At 49.9% G+C, this 19,015-nt stretch overlaps 1 protein-coding gene and 1 long non-coding RNA gene across 6 annotated transcripts in view, besides 2 other annotated features; one reads left to right on the top strand and one right to left on the bottom strand.

The window, feature by feature from the left end:
• Positions 1 to 19,015, top strand: part of DSCAML1 (DS cell adhesion molecule like 1) — a 389,743-nt gene that overhangs the window by 145,337 nt on the left and 225,391 nt on the right. The window lies entirely within an intron of this gene.
• Positions 2,366 to 3,202: an enhancer, noted in NCBI's record as "H3K4me1 hESC enhancer chr11:117539691-117540527 (GRCh37/hg19 assembly coordinates)". NCBI's record gives its function as "activates a minimal SCP1, AML or CMV promoter by ChIP-STARR-seq in primed H9 embryonic stem cells {active_cell/tissue: H9 hESC(primed)}" and the evidence as "EXISTENCE:reporter gene assay evidence [ECO:0000049][PMID:30033119]".
• On the bottom strand, positions 3,324 to 13,122 carry LOC105369515 (uncharacterized). Its single transcript, XR_948060.3, has 3 exons — positions 13,052 to 13,122; positions 5,272 to 5,353; positions 3,324 to 3,858 (listed from the first exon to the last, which is right to left on the bottom strand). It is a non-coding gene; the product is annotated as an uncharacterized LOC105369515 (long non-coding RNA).
• Positions 8,711 to 9,396: an enhancer, noted in NCBI's record as "H3K4me1 hESC enhancer chr11:117533497-117534182 (GRCh37/hg19 assembly coordinates)". NCBI's record gives its function as "activates a minimal SCP1, AML or CMV promoter by ChIP-STARR-seq in naive H9 embryonic stem cells {active_cell/tissue: H9 hESC(naive)}" and the evidence as "EXISTENCE:reporter gene assay evidence [ECO:0000049][PMID:30033119]".

Raw genomic sequence — 19,015 nt, 5'->3', positions numbered from 1 at the left:
TTTCCTCATCTCCAAAATGAGGGGGTCAGCCTGGATGAGGCCCAAGGTTTCTTCTTTTTTTTTTTTTTTTTTTTTCTGAGCTGGAGTCTCGCTCTGTCGCCCAGGCTGGAGTGCAGTGGCGCGATCTCGGCTCACTGTAAGCTCCGCCTCCCGGGTTCACGCCATTCTCCTGCCTCACCCTCCCGAGTAGCTGGGACTACAGGCACCTGCCACCGCGCCCGGCTAATTTTTTGTATTTTTAGTAGAGATGGGGTTTCACTGTGGTCTTGATCTCCTGACCTCAGGTAATCCGCCCGCCTCGGCCTCCCAAAGTGCTGGGATTACAGGCGTGAGCCACCGCGCCGGCCCCAAGGTTTCTTTTACCCTAAACACCTGCAATGCTATGAGATAAAGTCTCCTTCTCCCCCGCCCACTCTGCCTTTCTAATACTGTGGCCATGCGGTTTCTATTTTTATTTGCTTCCATGTCCCAGGATCTGAGCATTGCTTTTGACTGACTGTAGGTGTGATAGAATTTGTACCTTCTCAGAATTTAATTACTAGCAGTAAATGATCAATCAATCCATTGATTAACTACTTATTGATACCCCCTGATGTGACTCTGAGACAGTTAGGCTGCATTTGGAACACAATCCTTTGGTAATTGGCTTATCCTGCCGGGCACACAGCCTCTGTTAAGAGGCATTGGGGTCTTGGTAAATGGCTTTTTATCTAAGTATTTCTCAGATCCCAGACTGCTGTTGGGAGACATTTTATGTGTGTGCTGGGTTTAGCAGGTAAGCCCCGAGATGTAAACATGGACTCCACGTGGCCACTGAAATCCATGGAAGAGACTGAGGCCCTTTAACTGAGGGTACCAGAATAAGTTATTTCACCTGAGTGTGGCCTCTGGAAGCTGCTCTATGAAGCGAGGGTTTGGGGCTCCATGATTTCTAAAAGCTCAAATTCCTTAATTCTGATTCTAACTCTCCATTTCACAAACAGTCTAGCTTAAACAGGCAGGACATTTGCATATCAAACACTGCTGCAGGCGCAGGTTGCCCAGGCTGTGTCCCTCTCGGGGAGCTGTGGACTGGGCTGGTGCTTTGAAATGTTAACGTCAAGTGCATTCCTTATGCTAGGCACAGGCCAGAGGGAATTGGCCTCTTGGTTTCCAAATGTGCACCTCTTTCAACGGGCAGCCAGCTCTCAGTTATCCACGTGAATAGGTAGGTGCATGGAGAAAGGAATTCCGGTCCAACTTCCTCTGTCACCCAGGCCCTCTGGGTGCCTTCCCTTCTGTCAAGTTATTGCGTGCCCAGGAAGACAAATTCATTTCACTGTCAACATCAGCAAAATGACCCTCGGGGACAGGTTTGCTCCTGCCTTCCCCATGCCTTTGCCCAAAGTCTTAATGGATTCTCCAGTCAAGGGTGTATAGAAACCGGACTACAATAGAAGTAAGGATGAAACGTTACCCAAGCACAGAGGCACAGCCCTTTCATTCTGTCCTGGGGAGTGGCCAGATGCCTCCAGGAGGAGTTATGCTGCTTAGTGAACAATCACAGTGGCCTCTGACAATAGCCTCAGCTGACCCCTCCCGTCAGCCTTCACGCAGCAGCTGGAACCTCCTTGGGCAGTTTGAATCTGAGTCTGTCATTCCCTTGTTTCAAAACCTTCCAAGGGTCTCCATTCTCCCAAATCAAGTCTGACCTCCCCATTATGTCACACCTGGCCCACCCTGGTCCAGCCTAACTTGCTGCTCGCCTCCTGCCTGCTTGCCTGTCTGCCTTGCACATAATAAGTATTCGATATTTACTGGAGTGAATCAATGAATGAGTGGATTTCGTTCTGAATGATAACTCATTTGGCAGGGAGCTTGGAGTCGGTCTGGGGGGCGGCAGTGGTGGGGGAAACAGGTCTTCTGCGCAGACTGGTAAGCCTGGCAATTGGATTTGTTTTCTCCCTCCCTTTCCAGCCACCGCTCCTCTCCAGATCCCACTCCTATGCATATATTTGTTTGTTTATTCCTATTGATTTCCAAAGGCCTAGGTGCCCCCACAGTATACTGTGAGGTATACACAGTGTACTTAAAATTAGGAGGAAGAGCCAAGCATCACAGCGCTTAACCTCTTTCCTTTCCTTACTTAAAGGCAGACAAAGGTCGCTGAAAACTTAGGAGCCAGAAAGTTTCCTTCCTTTAAAAAGGATCTAGAATCACAGGCTTGGCCAGGCCATCAGCTCTTGCTTGACATTTTCATGGGCCGCTGAGGCCCCTGTGGTCTTGTCCTTGCCACTCTTTGAGCCCATCTCATGCCACAGGCCCCGTTGCTCATTGAGCTATAGCCACAAGGATCTCAGTTTCTCAGACGAACCAGGATGTTCCATCCGCCCCTGCCCCAGGGCCTTTGCACATGTTCCTTCAGCTGGAAAGCCCTTCCCCCATGCTTCACATTTGGCTCCATCTCATCCTTCAGGTCTCAGTGTAAATGTCATGTTTCTCAGGAAATGTCTGTTTCCTGACCTACCTAAAGCACCCCTTGTCCATCTCACTTTCTTCCTGGTTTCTACCTGAACACTCCCATCTTTGTTGTTTTTAATCTGGTCTTCCTAACTACATTGTCAGCCCCATCAGCACTAGGGCCATGTCTGTCTTGTTCACTTGTATATGCCCAGGGCCCAGCACAGAGCTTGGCTCTAAGAAGGTCCACTAGATAGCTGTTGAATGGTTGAAGGATCCAGCATGGGAGGCTTGGGCTGGAGAAGAGTTGCCATCTCTCACCACTCACCCAGCTCAGGCAGATGGGGACCTTGAAGGTCTCCCAAGGCAAGGTGCCACCACTGGCAACGTGAGGCAGAGCTTTCTCAGAGCCAGCCCGAGGGCCCGTCCCCCAGACCATCTGCCCACCCTGGTGCCTGCCTGTGCCAGTGCTGCCAGGCCCATTGAAGCTGCCCTTCAATGGAGGACTTGTCTTTGAGGGCTGCACTCCCCAGCAGGAAGCCCTTTGGCTTTCTCCTTTTATGGGGAATTTTTGCTGCTGGATTGACTGTAATTGTCGGATTTGCATTTGGTACACCTGCAGCAAGAGGCCCTGGGGGCACCTAGGCCTTAGAAATCAATAGGAATAAACAAACAAATATATTCATAGGAGTGGGATCTGGAGAGGAGAGGTGGCTGGAAAGGGAGGGAGAAAACAAATCCAATTGCCAGGCTTACCAGTCTGCGCAGAAGACCTGTTTCCCCCACTACTGCCACCCCCCAGACCGACTCCAAGCTCCCTGCCAAAGTACCCGCCTTCTATCACTACAGTGAAACTGAGACTGTAATTTGGGTGCTAGCCTGAATGGGTTCATTTCTTTTTATTAACTCCAGCATCAGAGTTTTAGGCAAGTTGGCTATTGTTCGCACCTCGCTTCTCTTCTCTCTACTCCCCACTCTTTGAAGCAGCAGGAACAGCCGGAAGGAGATGGCATTGAGCAGCAGAAGTGGCTGGTGTGAGACCAGGTTGCTTTGCAGTCAGATGGAAGCTAGAGCTGGAGCATTGGTAGGAGAGTCAGGGAGGGCAAGCTCTCTCTGCCTGGAACCCAGTGCCGTTCAGGGACTGGCACAGGTGCCTGCCTGGGCTCACTTGCCAGCATCCTGCAATTAGAGAGGGACCTGGCCAGCCTCCCAGGTACCCGCTGGGCTATAGCATAATGAGGCACAAAAACAACCAATGGGCACACTGTGCTTTGCAGATTACAAGGTGCCTTTACATATCCTCATGCCGAAGCCAGTTTTTGCTGAGAGCTTGCACCAGACTCCCGAGACACTCAGCAGCTGGCTGGGGGCCGCTCTGGAATGAACTGATCCTGTGGGATCTGTAGACTGCAAAGCACCCTGCAGAGAGATAGGAGGCATGACATCACTATCTAGGGCAGATATTCTGTGGCCTTAGCCAACCTTTCTGAGTCTCAGTTTCCTCATCTGGATCGTAAGCTCCTATGAGGACAGAGACCACATCTGTCTCATTCCTCACTGTATTCCTGCTGCCTTACTTGGCATATAGTAGACATTTCAGAATATTTTTAAAAGAGTGAATCAATGAAAAATGAAAGAAAATGGGAATAATAGTACCCACCTCCCAGGGTTGTTGTAGGAATAAAGGGGACCATGTGTATAAAACCCTCAGTGCATAATAATGCGAATGGTGTTTGGCTGTTATATTGTTCTCAGAGTCAGGTCAACTTGCTTTCTCTGACATCGGGCACCTAATGAGCAGTAGTAGATCATCTGGCACTAGATTCCATATCCCTCCCTTCTTCTCCACTGCAAGAATTACAAACACAAATCTGCCTTCGATGTGTTCGGATACAGGGTGGCTCATGGGACAGGAAAAAGTACTGGATACTGAATGGGAAGCAGCATTTCCTCTTGGGAGTAAGGATGCTGCCAAGCCTCCAACCACCTTTTTCTGGGTGCTATAATCAACGATCAACTCTGAAGGTTGGATTCTGTTTCAGGTCAGGAGGTGGCTTTTGAGGCACTTAAAACAGAGGAGGAAGTCAGGCTGAGGGGCTAGTGGGAAACTGAGTCCTGGATGCAAAGAGGAAGGAAGAGTTGGGAAGAAGCAGAAAGGAGTTAACTATCTGGAACCAGTCTCAGTGTCTGGGCTGGCTCTTCAGTGCCCAAGGAGATGAGCACCGCCCCCAGCCCCGGCCACCCTGGCAAGCTGGCCCATTAGAGAGTGAGGGGCTAGTCAGACCCCGGGCAGAACCATTACCAATGTTGACTTATTTATTTACTTTTTATGAGACGGAGTCTCTGTCACCCAGGCTGGAGTGCAGTGGTGCCATCTTGGCTCACTACAACCTCTGCCTCCCGGGTTCAAGCAATTATCGTGCCTCAACCTCCCGAGTAGCTAGGATTATAGGCATGCACCACCACGCCCAGCTGATTTTTGTATTTTTAGTAGAGACAGGGTTTCACCATGTTGGCCAGGCTGGTCTCGAACTCCTGACCTCAAGTGATCCACCCACCTTGGCCTCCCGAAGTGCTGGGATTACAGGCGTGAGCCATCGTGCCCAACCACCAACATTGACTTTGTCAGGAGAGCAGGCTCCTTGTCCCACCTGAGCCTGCCAGCCATCTCGGGAAAGCTGGGTGTTGCTCCTTGGACCCCCCAGCTGCTGTCCAGACTCCTGGATGAACCAACCACCCAGACCAGGCCACTAACACCTGCTGACTGCCCACCTGACAGCCCTACCCCCAAAACTGCATGATGGTGAATACATGGATTCGGACAGTAATTACCTGCATTATGGAGAGCTTACCACGTGCCACGCATCTGCTAGGCACTCCAGATCCATCACTGCATTTCATCCTTCCAGCCACCCTGAGAGAGGCAGAGGCATTGAAATCACCACTTTACAGAAGAAGAGATCAAGGCTTATAGCCCTCTGAGGTAGCCACATCTAAAACCAAGCCTGAATTTGCGACCTTCCTTTAGACAATGCACTCCTGCCGGGGCCAGCCCTTCAGAGGGGTCTTTTGCCCGTAGCTCAGGCCTCATACTCCCCACCACCTGAGGCTGAGGCTGTTCTGCAGAACTGGGGGTGGGACACAGGCTCAGTGAGGGAGAGAGAGGAGTGGGAAGTTGGGATAGTACCCAGAGAGAGAGGCCCGGCAGCAGCTTTGTCCTCAGGGGCATTTGGCAGCAGCTGAGAGGCCAGATCAGGAAACAGGCAGAAAGTCAAACCAGGGATAAGACAAGAACAAAGGCCTGAAGTCCTAGGGGTACTCTGTTATAATGTAGGCGTCTGACTATTAGACAGAGGCAGGGGCACTAACATTGATTACACAACTTCTAAAATCCACTATGGAAAATGCTAGCTACTGGGTGGGTTCTTTGCATGTGTGATCTTGTTTGATCCCCAGCACGCTTACAGCAGGTATTAACACTCCCAATTTACAGATGTGGAAATTGATGCTGAAGAGGCTGGCTCGAGGGTCCACTGGTAGGAAGCACCGGAGGCTGGATGTGACCTCAGGGCCTTCTGAGATCCATGCCCCTCTCACCATACTATTCTGCTTCCTGGGGCCCAAGGAGGCCAACAAACAGCCCCTCGGAGCATTACAGGGTTCTCAGCAGCAGCCCTGAGCTCTGACCGCAGTGATGGAGGAGAACCAGCCACTGACCAACTGCCCAAAAGTCCTTCCTCAATCCTCACGCAGGCAATAGAGAGAGAGGGTCCTGGACTGTGTTTGGTGTTGTGTGTGCCTTTGCAAAAGTCTCTGACTTCCCAGAGCAATGGATTCCTCATCTGGGAAATGAGGAGGTTGGGCTGACTATAGATCCCTGTTTCTTTCCTTTTTTGACTCTTTGCCAACCTATACGTTGGCAGTGTCTTAGGGCTGTGTGGCATTGCCTCACACCTTACTAGCCCCGTGTCCTGGGCAGGGACTGAGGCCGTTGGGATTATGGGCTCAGGTACCATGCTGCCTGGTGTGAATCCCAGTTCCACGCATGCTGCCTGTGTGATGGTGGGCGAGTTACTATCTCTGGGCCCAGTCTCCTCATCTGTAAAATAGGGACAATGACAATACCTGGCTGCAGAGATAGATTTTCCAGGAAGCCATTGCAGCTTAAGCTTCAGAGCCCCTTATTTGCACAGACCCAATCTGAGGCCCTATTTTATAAGTAGACTGCCAAAATCATATGCACTTCACATCCAAAAACCCGGAGCCACTCCTGCCTGAGTGTTCCTGAGTACGCACTCGGCTCTTAGACCACAGCTCGCGTACTCTGTGCCCACAGGAAGGGTTAGCTGTGCTTGTGGCTGTCATTGCTGTTATTCCATTGAGGTAGCCTCATTTTACAGAAAAGAAACCAAATCTTAGATATGTCCTTTGACTTGTTTATAACTGCCCAGCTCGTACGAGCCGACTTCCAGTCCCCTTGGGGACACCAGAGAAGAAAATGAGCTAGTCCTGGACTTCAAGGGGCCGATTGTGTGGTCAGGGAGACTGGGCCCACATGAACAAGGCATCACAACTGTGAAAAGCCATAGGTCAGAGGCCAGCCTGGGAGCAGCTCGAGGGCTCAGGGAGGGTCATAAGGGCAGGAGTTGTCAGCACAGACTTCGGCAGGAAATAGGACTTCCACTGAGATGGGCGGGGCTTGGCCTGGCTACCAACAAGCATGGCAAAGTGAGAGAAACAAGAAGGAAAGGCAGAAAGGGTGCTGGGTCTGGGGGTGCCCAGATCAGCAGGCAGACCACAGTGTTTGTTGATAGACGTGGTTCTGAAGGTGCCCAGCAGACACGCGGCCGTGAAAGGGACAAGGTAGCTGCTTGTTCAGCTAAGGCAAAGCCAGGAGGAGTAGGGGTGTGGAACTCCACCATCATGGGTCTGTGGGTGTATTCTTTTAAAGACAGCTAGAGGCTCTGAGAATGCTAGGCCTCCCCATGTATTGTCATTAGTTTGTAAACCAGGCCATCAGGAAACAGTTCCGCAAAAATCCATGAATACTCATAACACTCGTCAACCAAAAATGCGAGGAGCTCCCTTTGTGGAGTGTCCATTACGGGGTAGACATTGTGCTAAGTGCCCCCTACCCTTTTTTAAATTGAGGTGAAATTCACATACAGCGCTAGGTACTTTTCATATACAAGCGTAACACCTCAAAACAGCAATGTAAGGTAGGAGCTGTCATCCCTATTTTTGCAGAAAGGGGAACTGAGCCTCCTTGAGATGATGTGACTTGATCTCTGTCACATGGCAGGGAGGTGTCAGAGGGGCCCTGGGAAGTAGATCTGAGTGGATTCAAAGTCCCCACCCTCTCTATCCCACTGCAATTCATAAATGTACTTATTCATATAAATTGTTGAATAAATAAAAATACCTGCTCAGAAAGCCTGTCAGCAGCCACCGCTCCTTAGAGTGTCATTGTTGTAGATTTGGCTAATTGCCTACCACGGCCCCTCGCCGGTCTAGGCCTCGGGTTCTCTGCAAGTCTGGCTGAATGTGGGCCCCTGAGCTGTTTGTCTGAAACGCTGCCACCATTCCTCTCTGGACTGAGAGTCCTGATCCCCTCCCCTGGCCTCCTCTCCCAGCATCCTGGAACTACGCCCTCTCTCTTCCCAGGCCCGGCCCCTCCTCCCGGCTGCTGGGAGCCACGGCATTTTCTGGGGTGCACTGTTGTGTCTCCAATGTTTGGTGATGGCGCTGAGCAATACAGCCTTGCAGCCGGCCTTGCTGTACTTGTTACAGCTCAGCGGAAACACTGGTGCTCTTTGGAAGAGCAGGGGAGGAATAAATGTTTCAGTCACGCTATAAATAATGTAGCGGGGAAAGATGTTGTGTAAGTGGTGCTCTGGGTTTTGCCAGGAGGTATGTTTTCCTTCCTTCTTTCTTTTTTCTCTTTTACCTTCCTCCCCCAGCCCCCCTGTACTCAGTCCGATACAGAATGCCTCCCACCAGGGATCAGAGGGAAACAGCTCTGCTCCAAGGGAAGGAGAAGATTAAACTGTTGAAACTAAACAAATCAATCCCTGTAGGGAAAGGGCAGGGGGAGGGGAAGTTCTGGCCTGGCCGGGCACTTGGCGGCGATGTGGGCACAGTGAGAGAGAGCCTCCTGGAAGAGACTGGGTTCACTCCTTCCAGTGGCAGTGGGAGAGGGGCAGGAAGTACCATGGAGAGCCTCCTGTATCTCCATGGTACTTCCTGCCATGGATTCTAGCCCTTCCACTTTCTCAGTCCAGCACGTGGAAGAGCTCCCAGAGGGATGCTGGCTGGCTTCTGCTTACAGGACTGACACCACTGGTGGGGGATGGCCTCAGAGTCCTGGGCGCCAGGCTGGGAAACCAAAGGTAGAGGAAGCAGAAGCAGAGCCCAGTTTGGGGGAAAGGTGGGAGCAAAGACTGAACCCAGGTAGGAGGGCCAGGTGGAGCCATGACAGCAAGGTAAGCCGTGAGATCAGAAGCACTGTGGGAGGTGGGCAGGCTGTCAGGGCTGACTCTGCGATATAGCAAGGATATCGAAGGCTGGCTTTTCGGTAGCGTGCAATGCCATGGGTCTGAGAGTGGGTCTCATGCTGAAAGATGCCTTTGCCTTCTTCCTGCTGCTCTGGGCCTCAGCGTTGCCTGGGGTTCAGCCAGCATCGGATGGAGTCCTTCCCCATCTCCGGGGGGCAAGTGGATGTGGTAAGGCAAAGGCAATGACAACTCCGGTAGGGCTTATATCCGGGAACCAGAAGAACCCGTGATGTTTTTCTGAGTCTACATTTATTTAAATGCCGCCTGGCAATCACATGCTTGGGAATCATCTGGGGAGCTTGTTAAAAATTGCAGATTTCTTGTCCCCATTCCAGGCCTACTGAATTCAAATTTTGAGTGGGGCCCAAGAATCTGCATTTTAAGTAAGCACGCTGGGTGACTCTAATTTGCAAGAATTTTGTTAACCCCTATTTAAGAGCTGCATTCCACATCTTCGGTTTGAAAGGATTTGCTGGAGAAAGCCTCTACACCTACCTGAAAACCAATGTCCCTGTGTAATTGAATACTGTCCATTTCACAATCTAGAAACATTGACTAAGCACCTACTATGTGCAGGGTGTTGTGCTAGGCTGTTGCCTGGAGCCAAAGACACAGTCTTAGGATGGAAGGGATCTCAGAGAGCATCTGCCACCCATGAGAGAGCCTTTTCTCTGGCATTCTCGACGAGTGGTCATCCGTGAACTCACGACTCTGTGAGACAGCCAAGTCTGCAGTTGGCTGGATTGCAGGTCCTGATTCTGCCTCCGGGCATTTGGGCCAATTGTGCTCCCTCTCATACATGACAGCCCTTCACATTTCGAAGCCGTCTGTCATGCTACCTTGAAATCTCTTTTCCAGACTGAAAACTACTGGTTCCATGAAAGGGAGCGTTTGCCTAGACTTCTCAGTTTCCTCCTCACCTGCTTCAGCCTTCTCTTCTCTGAATACTTGGGTTAGTGACCATCCTTTTTTAAAAAAACATGGCACTTGCCCCTGGGGTGTGACCAACAGAAGTGAAGGACTGAGACAAACCCTCTCTTCCCTTTTTCTGGATACAGACCAGCCTTTGTCCTGGGATGCTGCCTTTAGAGGAGAGAGGCTGCTCCTCCAGGACAGCATTTAGTGGCAGAAGCACTTCTGAGAAAGGCAAGAAACAAGTTGCATCCAGGCCACTCCAAGCCCTCATGGTCCTTAGTGCTGAAGTCTCGCTGACCCAGAGTTTGGGTACTGGTGTCTGGCCTTCAAGGAACTGTTTGGTGGGCAACAGCCAGCAGGCAGGCCTCAACCCTAGACTATGCTAGAAGGTGCCAACTCTGCCTTCCATCCAGCCACTCTTTTTCATAGGCCCAGTCCCTATGACTCTATTAGTCACCATCTGACATCCTCAGCTCTTCCCCTCCATCCAGGCAGTGCCAGGAAAAAGCTGCTCATTAGCAAGGAAAGAAAATGAGAGAGAGGTGCCCTTTGATGGGGACAGGCCACCAAGGGGACTGTGCCCTGAGTCATGCTTTGTCACACTGGCCTTAGGGAGGGATGCAGGAGAGGAGACCTAGGAGGACCAGGTGGCAGACAAGGAAGACGATTTAAGCAGTGGCATTTGGGACTGATTGGAGGGGAGAGAATCTGGGGCTGGGGAGGCTTCATTATAATAATTGTATCCTTCCCCTCTAGTTACGACCTTGCAAATGTAACTTGATGTTTGTAATGAGCCATAATTAGACAATCACCAAAAGTTACAGTGAGTAGAGTGAATGCAAAACCCAGCCAGTAACGGTACACTGTGTATTCACTATTCGGTGCACCTGTTATATTCCCATTTTCCTCCTCCCTTGCGGCAGAAGCCCCAGGGAAGGCCTTGCATTGCCATGGCTACCTCTTTGGCTGCTCTGTTGTTTCTTGGCCGAGGTCTGTAGTCCTCTGAGGTGCCTCTGTCTGGTTACCAGGCCTTGAGTTTCTTCCTGCTGTTTGGGGGAATCATCCTCCAAATTTGAGTCCCTGGATCATCAACCCGGAGAAGGCTGAGCCCAACCCTAGGATTCTGGGTTTTCCAAGAAAAGAGTCCTTGGACCAGGCAGGACCCCTCACCTTGGGAACAGTGGCCTAGGCATTTTTGTCACTATTTCTAAGAAAGCAAAGGACTGGTGCTCAAGATTGCATAGCTAGGAAGTGACCAATAATGAAACAAAATTACCTCTTCTGCACTATTTGTCTACCAATAGAAGCACAATCCCCAACTCAAAGGAACCCTTAATGATGGGATTTTAGGCATCAGCAGTGTATATAATGTGATAGGAAGATATTGAGGGGCAGAGGATCTTTCTCAAATTCAGAACACAAAATCACCTGTAGATGCAGCTCACTCTGTGCCTGAGCTAAGCTAGAGGACACCCATTCCTGCATCGATGTTCCATGTGAATGAGCTCCCCTAGTAGAATTTTGCATTGGTAACATATACAGGGCACCTGTTAATGCTAATAATGGTGAATGGTGCCCTGACCCCTCTCGGCAGCTGGGTCCCGGCTCCCAGGATGGAGGGACTTACGTTGTTTACAACATTTACATTTTAATTAAAATCCTTTTTGGACTCTCCAGAGTTTCCATGGATCTATTAGCCCCGGCTACAGCCTCCCCTCTTATGGCAAAGTCATTTTGGAGGATGAGATCTACACGAAGACTTTGCCCTTGCTGCCTACCAAATGAGTCCTCATGGAGAACCGGAGAGCAGGGAAGGAACTCAGAGATTACAGAATCCAGCCTGTCATTTTTCGGCTGAGGAACCTGGGGCCCAGATGGGGAAAGCCATTTGCCCAAAGACATATGGACTATGGCAGAACCAAGCCCTCAATTTAGGTCTGGCTCCTCAACGGTGCTTTCAACCTTAGACACAATACCAGCACCTTCCCAAAAGGGAGGAACTGGGAAGGGGCGGGCCTTTGGTGGTTTTCTTCTCCCCACCTGGAGCTCGGCATTCTGAGCTTGTTCTATGGGACTCAGGCCCTAGGAGGGGACTGGGAAGCAGGAGCCCCTGCTTATGTATTGGGGCTGTTTCCTATGGCCTGTGTTGGGGAGAAGAGACAGGAGAGAGAGGAAGAAATGGAAAGGATGATATGAAAAGAGAGAACTGGCCCTAGGTAAGCTTAGGGATAAAAGTGTGAGGCAGAGGCCGGGTGTAGTGGCTCATGCCTGTAATCCCGGCACTTTGGGAGGCTAAGGCGGGCCAATCACTTGAGGTCAGGAGTTCAAGACCAGCCTGGCCAACATGGTAAAACCCAGTCTCTACTAAAAATACAAAAAAAAATTTAGCTAGGCCTGGTAGCGCATACCTGTAATCCCAGCTACTCGGGAGGCTGAGGTGGGAGAATCGCTTGAACCCAGGAGATGGAGGTTGCAGTGAGCTGAGACTGCACCACTGCACTCCAGCCTGGGCGACAGAGCGAGACTCCATCTCAAAAGAAAAAAAAAAAATGTGTGAGGCAGAAGACATGTGCCGGGCAAGTCAGGGAGCTTAGATGCTGATACTGGCCCAGAGCAGTCAGTCCTGAATCGTACCACAGAGCCAAGCCCAGTGGCTTCCTCCACCTCCCCTAGGGGTGCTAACTCATTGCACAAACTCTTGCCCTTTGGACCTCAATAAGACCCGTGCTTAAACAATAAAAATGTCTTGGCAAGGTCTAGATCAGCCAAGCTGTTTTGAAAGATAGTCTCACTTCACTAAAGAGGCAGAGAATACAATTGCTGTCCTGACTTTACTGTTAACTATACGCCCTTGATCAGGGCACTTAACCTCTTTTGGCCCCAGTTTCCAGTTGTTAAACAAGAACATTGTTAGTGGCTTCATAGTCTGTGGTTAGATTTATATTAGCTATATGTGAAAATATTCCATCAACTAAAACCCCTGTAATAATATCCAAGCTCTAAGCGTGATTGTCACAGCCAGGGAGCTTCTTCTGTTCCATTGACCACTGGGTGCAAGGGGAAAATAAATTAAGCACAAAAGAAACACCGTCTTCCAAAAACTAGCCCCTTCTTACTACAGAACCATGCTGAACTTGGCTTACCTTAAATCCCATTCTTGCTCCCAGGAACTCTGAAATAGCAGCAGTGCTCACCCAGAGCTGGAAGGCAGACTACCTAGGAACCAGGAAGGAATCGTGGGTCAGAGGAGAGGGAGGTGTCTCTGTTACAAGTCCAATAATAATAGGCTGGTGCACCTGAAAGTCAGAACTACACCCAGGCTGAGGGTAGGCACAGGCAGGCTGACTAGAAGCTAAGGTCCAGTCTTCACCACATGACCTGGGGGCACCCAGTTAACCAACATTTGCTCAAGCAACGTAAGTAAGGAGTATCTGGATGTTGGGATGCTGGGGAAAGGTGTGGTTTGTTTCATTGACACTTTTGTTTGTAGGGTTAGTTCATGGCTAAGTTTTTACCTAAGGAGAATCTTCGCCACTCAAAAATGTGCTTATCCTAATTCCCAGCTGTTAATTGCCTCTTCCTAATGCTTATATTACACTCTTCTGAGATGTTAACCTTTTGTTGGTCCAGGTCAGCTGTTGACTTGGGCCTTTGGATGGAGTCCAGCCTCTCCTGACCCATGGATCCACATACTGTGGCGTAAACTATGCCTTCTTCTTAAATATAATGCCCTGACGTGTCAGATCTCAGCCAATCTCAGGTCTCTCTCTCTGAAGACACTGGTTTTAGTTCTTGCTCTGCTGGTAACTGGACTCTGACTTTGGGCAAGCCACAGCTTTCCGGGGCTTCAGTTTCCCAATCTATAAATTATGAAGGAGTTGAACTCCATCGTCCCAAAGAAGTGGATCAGGAAAGTCTCCTCACATCAGACTGTGAGCTAGAAGGGGCAACCCACAACTTGGGCATAGCGCTGGCAAACTGTTCAAGCTCAGATAATCTGATACTGTGCCTCTGATGAATGTGTAGCATGAGCTCCAGAGACTCTAGGGCTGCAGAAGGGACCTCACGGTGGCTCCTGTTTATGCTTAAAAATGGGTCCTAAAAGAGGCTTGCATTCCGTCCTGTGCTTGTAAAGACAGCCTTGTGACTCCAGTCACCACGAAGCCTTTGTTGTCAATTAGCAGGCAGTTGCACGGTGGAAAAGCCATTGTTCTCAAGTAGTCATCTCATTGTGCCTTGGTGCCAGCTGGCATCCAGTGACCAAGCCCCGCTCCAGTGCCGTAAGGTGATGCTGGCAAGAAGCAGCAAGCAGTCTGTGCTCATTGTGCTGGGCCAGCGTATGCACCAGAGTCAATCCCTCCTTGACATTCCAGGAGCAGAACATCCTTTTCCCTCGGGCCATGGAGAGGCTCTGCTTCATTGTGGAAGAAGAGCATAGCAGACTATTCACTGATCACAGTTCAGAATCTCAGGGCTAAAAGGGGGCCTTCAAAGGTCACTAATCCAAGTCTCTCTTAATGCTATAATAAAATCTCCCTCTGTAATCCAGCATCCATCTCTAATGTGTGTCCTACCAGCTTCCAAAAGGGAGAATTTGGGCTGTTGATCATTTTAAATAAAGTCAGAAAAGCAGATCCCCATGTAGATGAAAGCATGGGGGTGAGGAGGAGATGGTTTGGCCAGGGACCTAGGATTAGATAGTCACTGACACGGAGCATTAAATTCAACTCTGAGCTTTTTGACAGCAAAAGCAAAAATGGAAATATGATTGTTACATGAGTGTCTGACAAAAGGACTTGTGGCAGGAGAGACACGCTTTTTCCTGATTCTGAATTTTGAAGCAAGCCACATTCATTTACTGGCCAGGGAAGGTGGCTCTGGAGGCTGTGGATTTGTTTCTGTTTCCCTGTTCTTACTCTGATGCTCTTCTGTTCCAAGAGTCTGTCTTGTGGACTCAAGGCTCTCTCTGGCTGGCTCATTTTTCTTTGTTTCTTTCTCAGGAGCCCATTGGGTTATGGTTTTGGCCTCAAGTCCTAGGGAGATGGGGCCCTTTTGCAAATTTCAAGGGCTTTGCGAATCTGGAAGGAAGTTACCTGATGGGATGTGGATGTTGATGGACAGGGCAGAGGTGTCACCTTCCAGGACTAGCTGCTGTTGGCCTGGGAGTGTGCCATCTCTGTCACCTGTGGAGCGCCCTGCAGCCCACATAGACCACCTTAGAGCCGATGGGTTTTACTAGCCTTCAGTAACCAGTGTGAAGACCCCTTATATAACTCAACATGTAAGCTCCTTATTTTTATTTCTCTTAGAGCAATAGGTCCATTTCTAGTTTTCCATTTAAGCAGTCAATGACATAGCCAGATGACATAGCACTGCCACCTCTTAGTAAGCTTCCAGTTCCTCAGGGGTGCCTGGGCATTTGAGGGCTACAGCTACCAAGTATGTGTCCCTACCTTCCACAGGCCCTGGCCTGGGCATGGACTGGACACTGTTGCTAAACCCTTCATGTGTGTTCTTCAGGGGCTGCACAGTGTGTTGATTAAGACCAAAGGTCTGGAGTCTATCTTCAAATCCCAGCACCCCTACTAACTCAGTTTTGTGTCCTGGAGCCAATTTCTTAACCCTACTAAGCCTCAATTTTTTTCATCTGTAAAAGAAAATTGTAGTAATGTCTACCTTACTAGGCAGTTGAGAATACTAAATTTGGATGGGTGGATGGATGGATAGATAGATAGATAGATAGATAGATAGATAGATAGATAGATAGATAGATGATTTAGGTAAATGTTTAGAACAGTCATCCTTAGTGCATAGTAAATGTTCTACAAGTCTTTCCATCATCACCCTTATCCTGAGAACCTTCCCGTGGTGTAGGTATTATTATCTCTATTTTGCAGCTGATGAAACTGAGGCTCAGAGGAGCTCAGTTCCTAGTCGAACGTGACAGCAGGGTTACCTGGTGGAGCCAGGATTTGGAGCTGGCTTGTCTGACTCCAGATCCGGTGCTCTCCTCTGCCCCGCTGCCCCCACCCAAGACGGAGTCTTGCTCTGTCGCCCAGGCTGGAGTGCAGTGGCGTGATCTTGGCTCATTGCAAACTCTGCCTTCTGGGTTAAAGTAATTCTCCTGCCTCAGCTTCCCGAGTGGCTGAGATTACAGGCGTACGCCACCACGCCCAGCTAATTTTTGTATTTTTAGTAGATGGGATTTCACCATGTTGGCCAGGCTAGTCTTGAATTCCTGACCTCGTGATCTGCCCGCCTCGGCCTCCCAAAGTGCCAGTGCTCTCTTTACAACATCTTGCTGCCTTAAACACCAGTTCTGAAGAATATGAGCCTTCACCTCCCCTCGTCCCTCACGCTGCACACTCCCAGCTCAGCACTAGCGGTGCTTTCTGTGGCTTTCTGTAGGTGGGGAAAAGGCAAGCCAGTTTTGGCAGCTGTGGCCAGGCTTCTCCAGCAACCAGGCTTGCCTTCGAGTCCAAGTCCTCAAATATGCCTTTTCTCCCCAGCATCTCCATCCTGAGATTAAACAAAATCCTCATGGCACCTGACATAAACGTGGCTTGGAGCTGGCCCCAACTTCCACGGACACTAGGGCAGTTGCCCTAGATTGCCCTTCCACAAAGCAATGGTTTTCAGGATGGCCAGGTGTCCCTGGGATTTCTGGCACTGGGGAGCTCCTGATGGAAGGCCTGAAGGGGCTGAAATATGGATTGCACTTTTGCACTGACTTTACACCAGACAGGCCTCATTTTAAATCCTGTCTCTACCGTTTACTAGCTGTGTGATCTTGGGCAAGATACTTAACCTCTCTGAGTTTCTGTTTCCTCATCTATCAATGAAGATGATACTATGAACCCAATAAGGCTGTTGTAAGTACCTGTAAAGTCTATGTCTGATGCAAAGGAAGGTGGAAGTTATTTATTATTGTTGCTTTTATTGTGATGACCATTGTCATTATTATAGCCTGCTGCCTCAGAATTCAAAGGCCCAAATAGCCAGCCCTCTTCTGCCTGCACATTGAGCCCTCCCCTGTCCTGAACTGGGGCACACCCAGACCCCTCTGCCTGCTGGTGTGGTTCCCCCTGCAGAAAGCCCCCAATATCAGGGCATGGAGATGGCAGCTGGGGCTGCAGACCTGCGTGTGAGCTGGCCCCATGCCCAGGGGCGGCTGCAAGGCTCACGCCATGGCTCAGCTTTGGGCTGTGCACTTAGGGTTTGGAGAGAGGGGATGTGCTGGCAGCTGCCACAACATCTGGACATCTGGCATCAGGGCTGGGAGACAAGCGTGGGCAGAGGGTTTTCTGTTTCGGGAGACTGTTGTGTCTGATTCTATATTTTACATCCTGGGGTAGAGATGAAGAGAAAGGCCATTGCAGGTGGCCCCACCAGGGTACCCGGAATAAAGCATTGCCGTTCCTACCCGCCGTTTCCTCCACCCGCTCAGTGCCCTCCACGCCGCAGATAAATGGTTCTCGATGGGGAGGACAGGGGTGGGTGTGCATGTGCCTGGGTGAGAACAAGGCCGTCCTAGCTGTGTTCTGGATTGATCTCTTAGGTCTCTTCCAATTTAACATTCTGCAGGACTCTGAGCCCATAACTCAAGTAAGCCGCAGCTTCCCAGAGCAGTGACATCTCGGCAGTAAATCTTGCCCATTTAAATAATGCCTCTGTTCCGATTCCATGTGCTCATGTACCTTCTGGCTCCTGGTTTCTTGCAGCGCTCCTCTGAGCCAGGAATTATTTGTGCCCTATCTCATGGATGGGCCAACAGGGGCCCAGAGAAGTAAGTGACTTTTCCAGGGTCATAGAGCAGACCGATAGTGTGCCCAGAATGTGAGTGCATAGCTCCCAATTCCAGGAATAGTCAGATGTTCTCTCTCTTCACTTTTTCCGACAGTTTAATTGAGATAGAATTCTTATACCATACAATACACCCATTTAAAAGGCACAGTTCGGTGATCTTTAGTATACTCACAGATATGTGCAACCATCACTACAGTCAATGTTAGAAAACTTTTATCACCTCAGAAATAAACCTCCCACCCTCTGGCCAACATCCCCCTATTTCCCCACCCCACCTCTGTCCCTAAGCAACCACCAATCTGTCTCTATAGATTTGCCTATTTTGGATATTTCATATCTGCATAGAAGAATAGATTAGAAATGTGGTCTTCCACGTCTGACTTCTTTCACTTAGCATAATGTTTTGAAGGCTTATCTATATCAGTACTTTTTTTTAAGAAACAAAGGTCTCATTCTCTCACCCAGGCTGGAGTGCAGTGGCATAATCGTAGCTCACTGCAGCCTCAAACTCGTGGGCTCAAGTGATCCTCCCACCTCAGCCTCCTGAGTAGCCAGGACTATAGGCTCAAGCCACCGCACCTGGCTTTCTCAGTACTTTATTCCTTCTTATGGCCAAATAATATTCCAGCTGCACCACATTCACCAGTTGATGGACATTTTGGTTGTTTCTCCCTTTTGCCTATTGTGAGTAATGCTGCTATAAACATTCTTGTGCACGCTTTTTCTTGGATGTATGTTTTCATTTCTCTTGGATATATGCCTAGGAGTAGAATGGCTGGGTCGTATGGTGATTCCACGTTGAACCTTTCGAGGAGCTGCCAGACAGTTTTCCAAAGCGGCTGCACCGTTTTACACTCCCACCAGCAGGGTGTGAGGGGTCCAGATTCTCGATGTCCTCTCCCACATTGGTCCTCTCTTAAATCCTCACCTAGCTCATGGGCTAGCCCGGGGGTCTACAAGCAGGGGAGGATGAAGACAGACAGGGCTTAATGGAGGCCAAGTGATGAATGAGCTGGGGGAAGGGGGAATCCTTCTGGGACCACTGTCCCCAGGCTTCTGGGATGCCCCAGGATTCCCCTCCAGGATGCTCATCCTGGTACCAAACTTGACTAAAGACCAGTGCTGGCCTCCACGGGAGATCATCTGAAGTGTTGGAACCAGAATACTGGATCCACTTCATGGCTGGGGAAAATCATGAGAAAGGGGACTGTGGCTCATGGCGACCAGGATTATAAACCTTGTTTGTGTGCTGGCCATTTCCCCTACACACACACCCCACCCCGAGACAAGCCTGGCTGAGG

This window comes from Homo sapiens, chromosome 11 (genome assembly GCF_000001405.40).
Source record: "Homo sapiens chromosome 11, GRCh38.p14 Primary Assembly".
Taxonomy (NCBI): domain Eukaryota; kingdom Metazoa; phylum Chordata; class Mammalia; order Primates; family Hominidae; genus Homo; species Homo sapiens.
The sequence above is the reverse complement of the archived record's forward strand: the minus strand, read 5'-3'. Positions and strand labels throughout refer to the sequence as shown.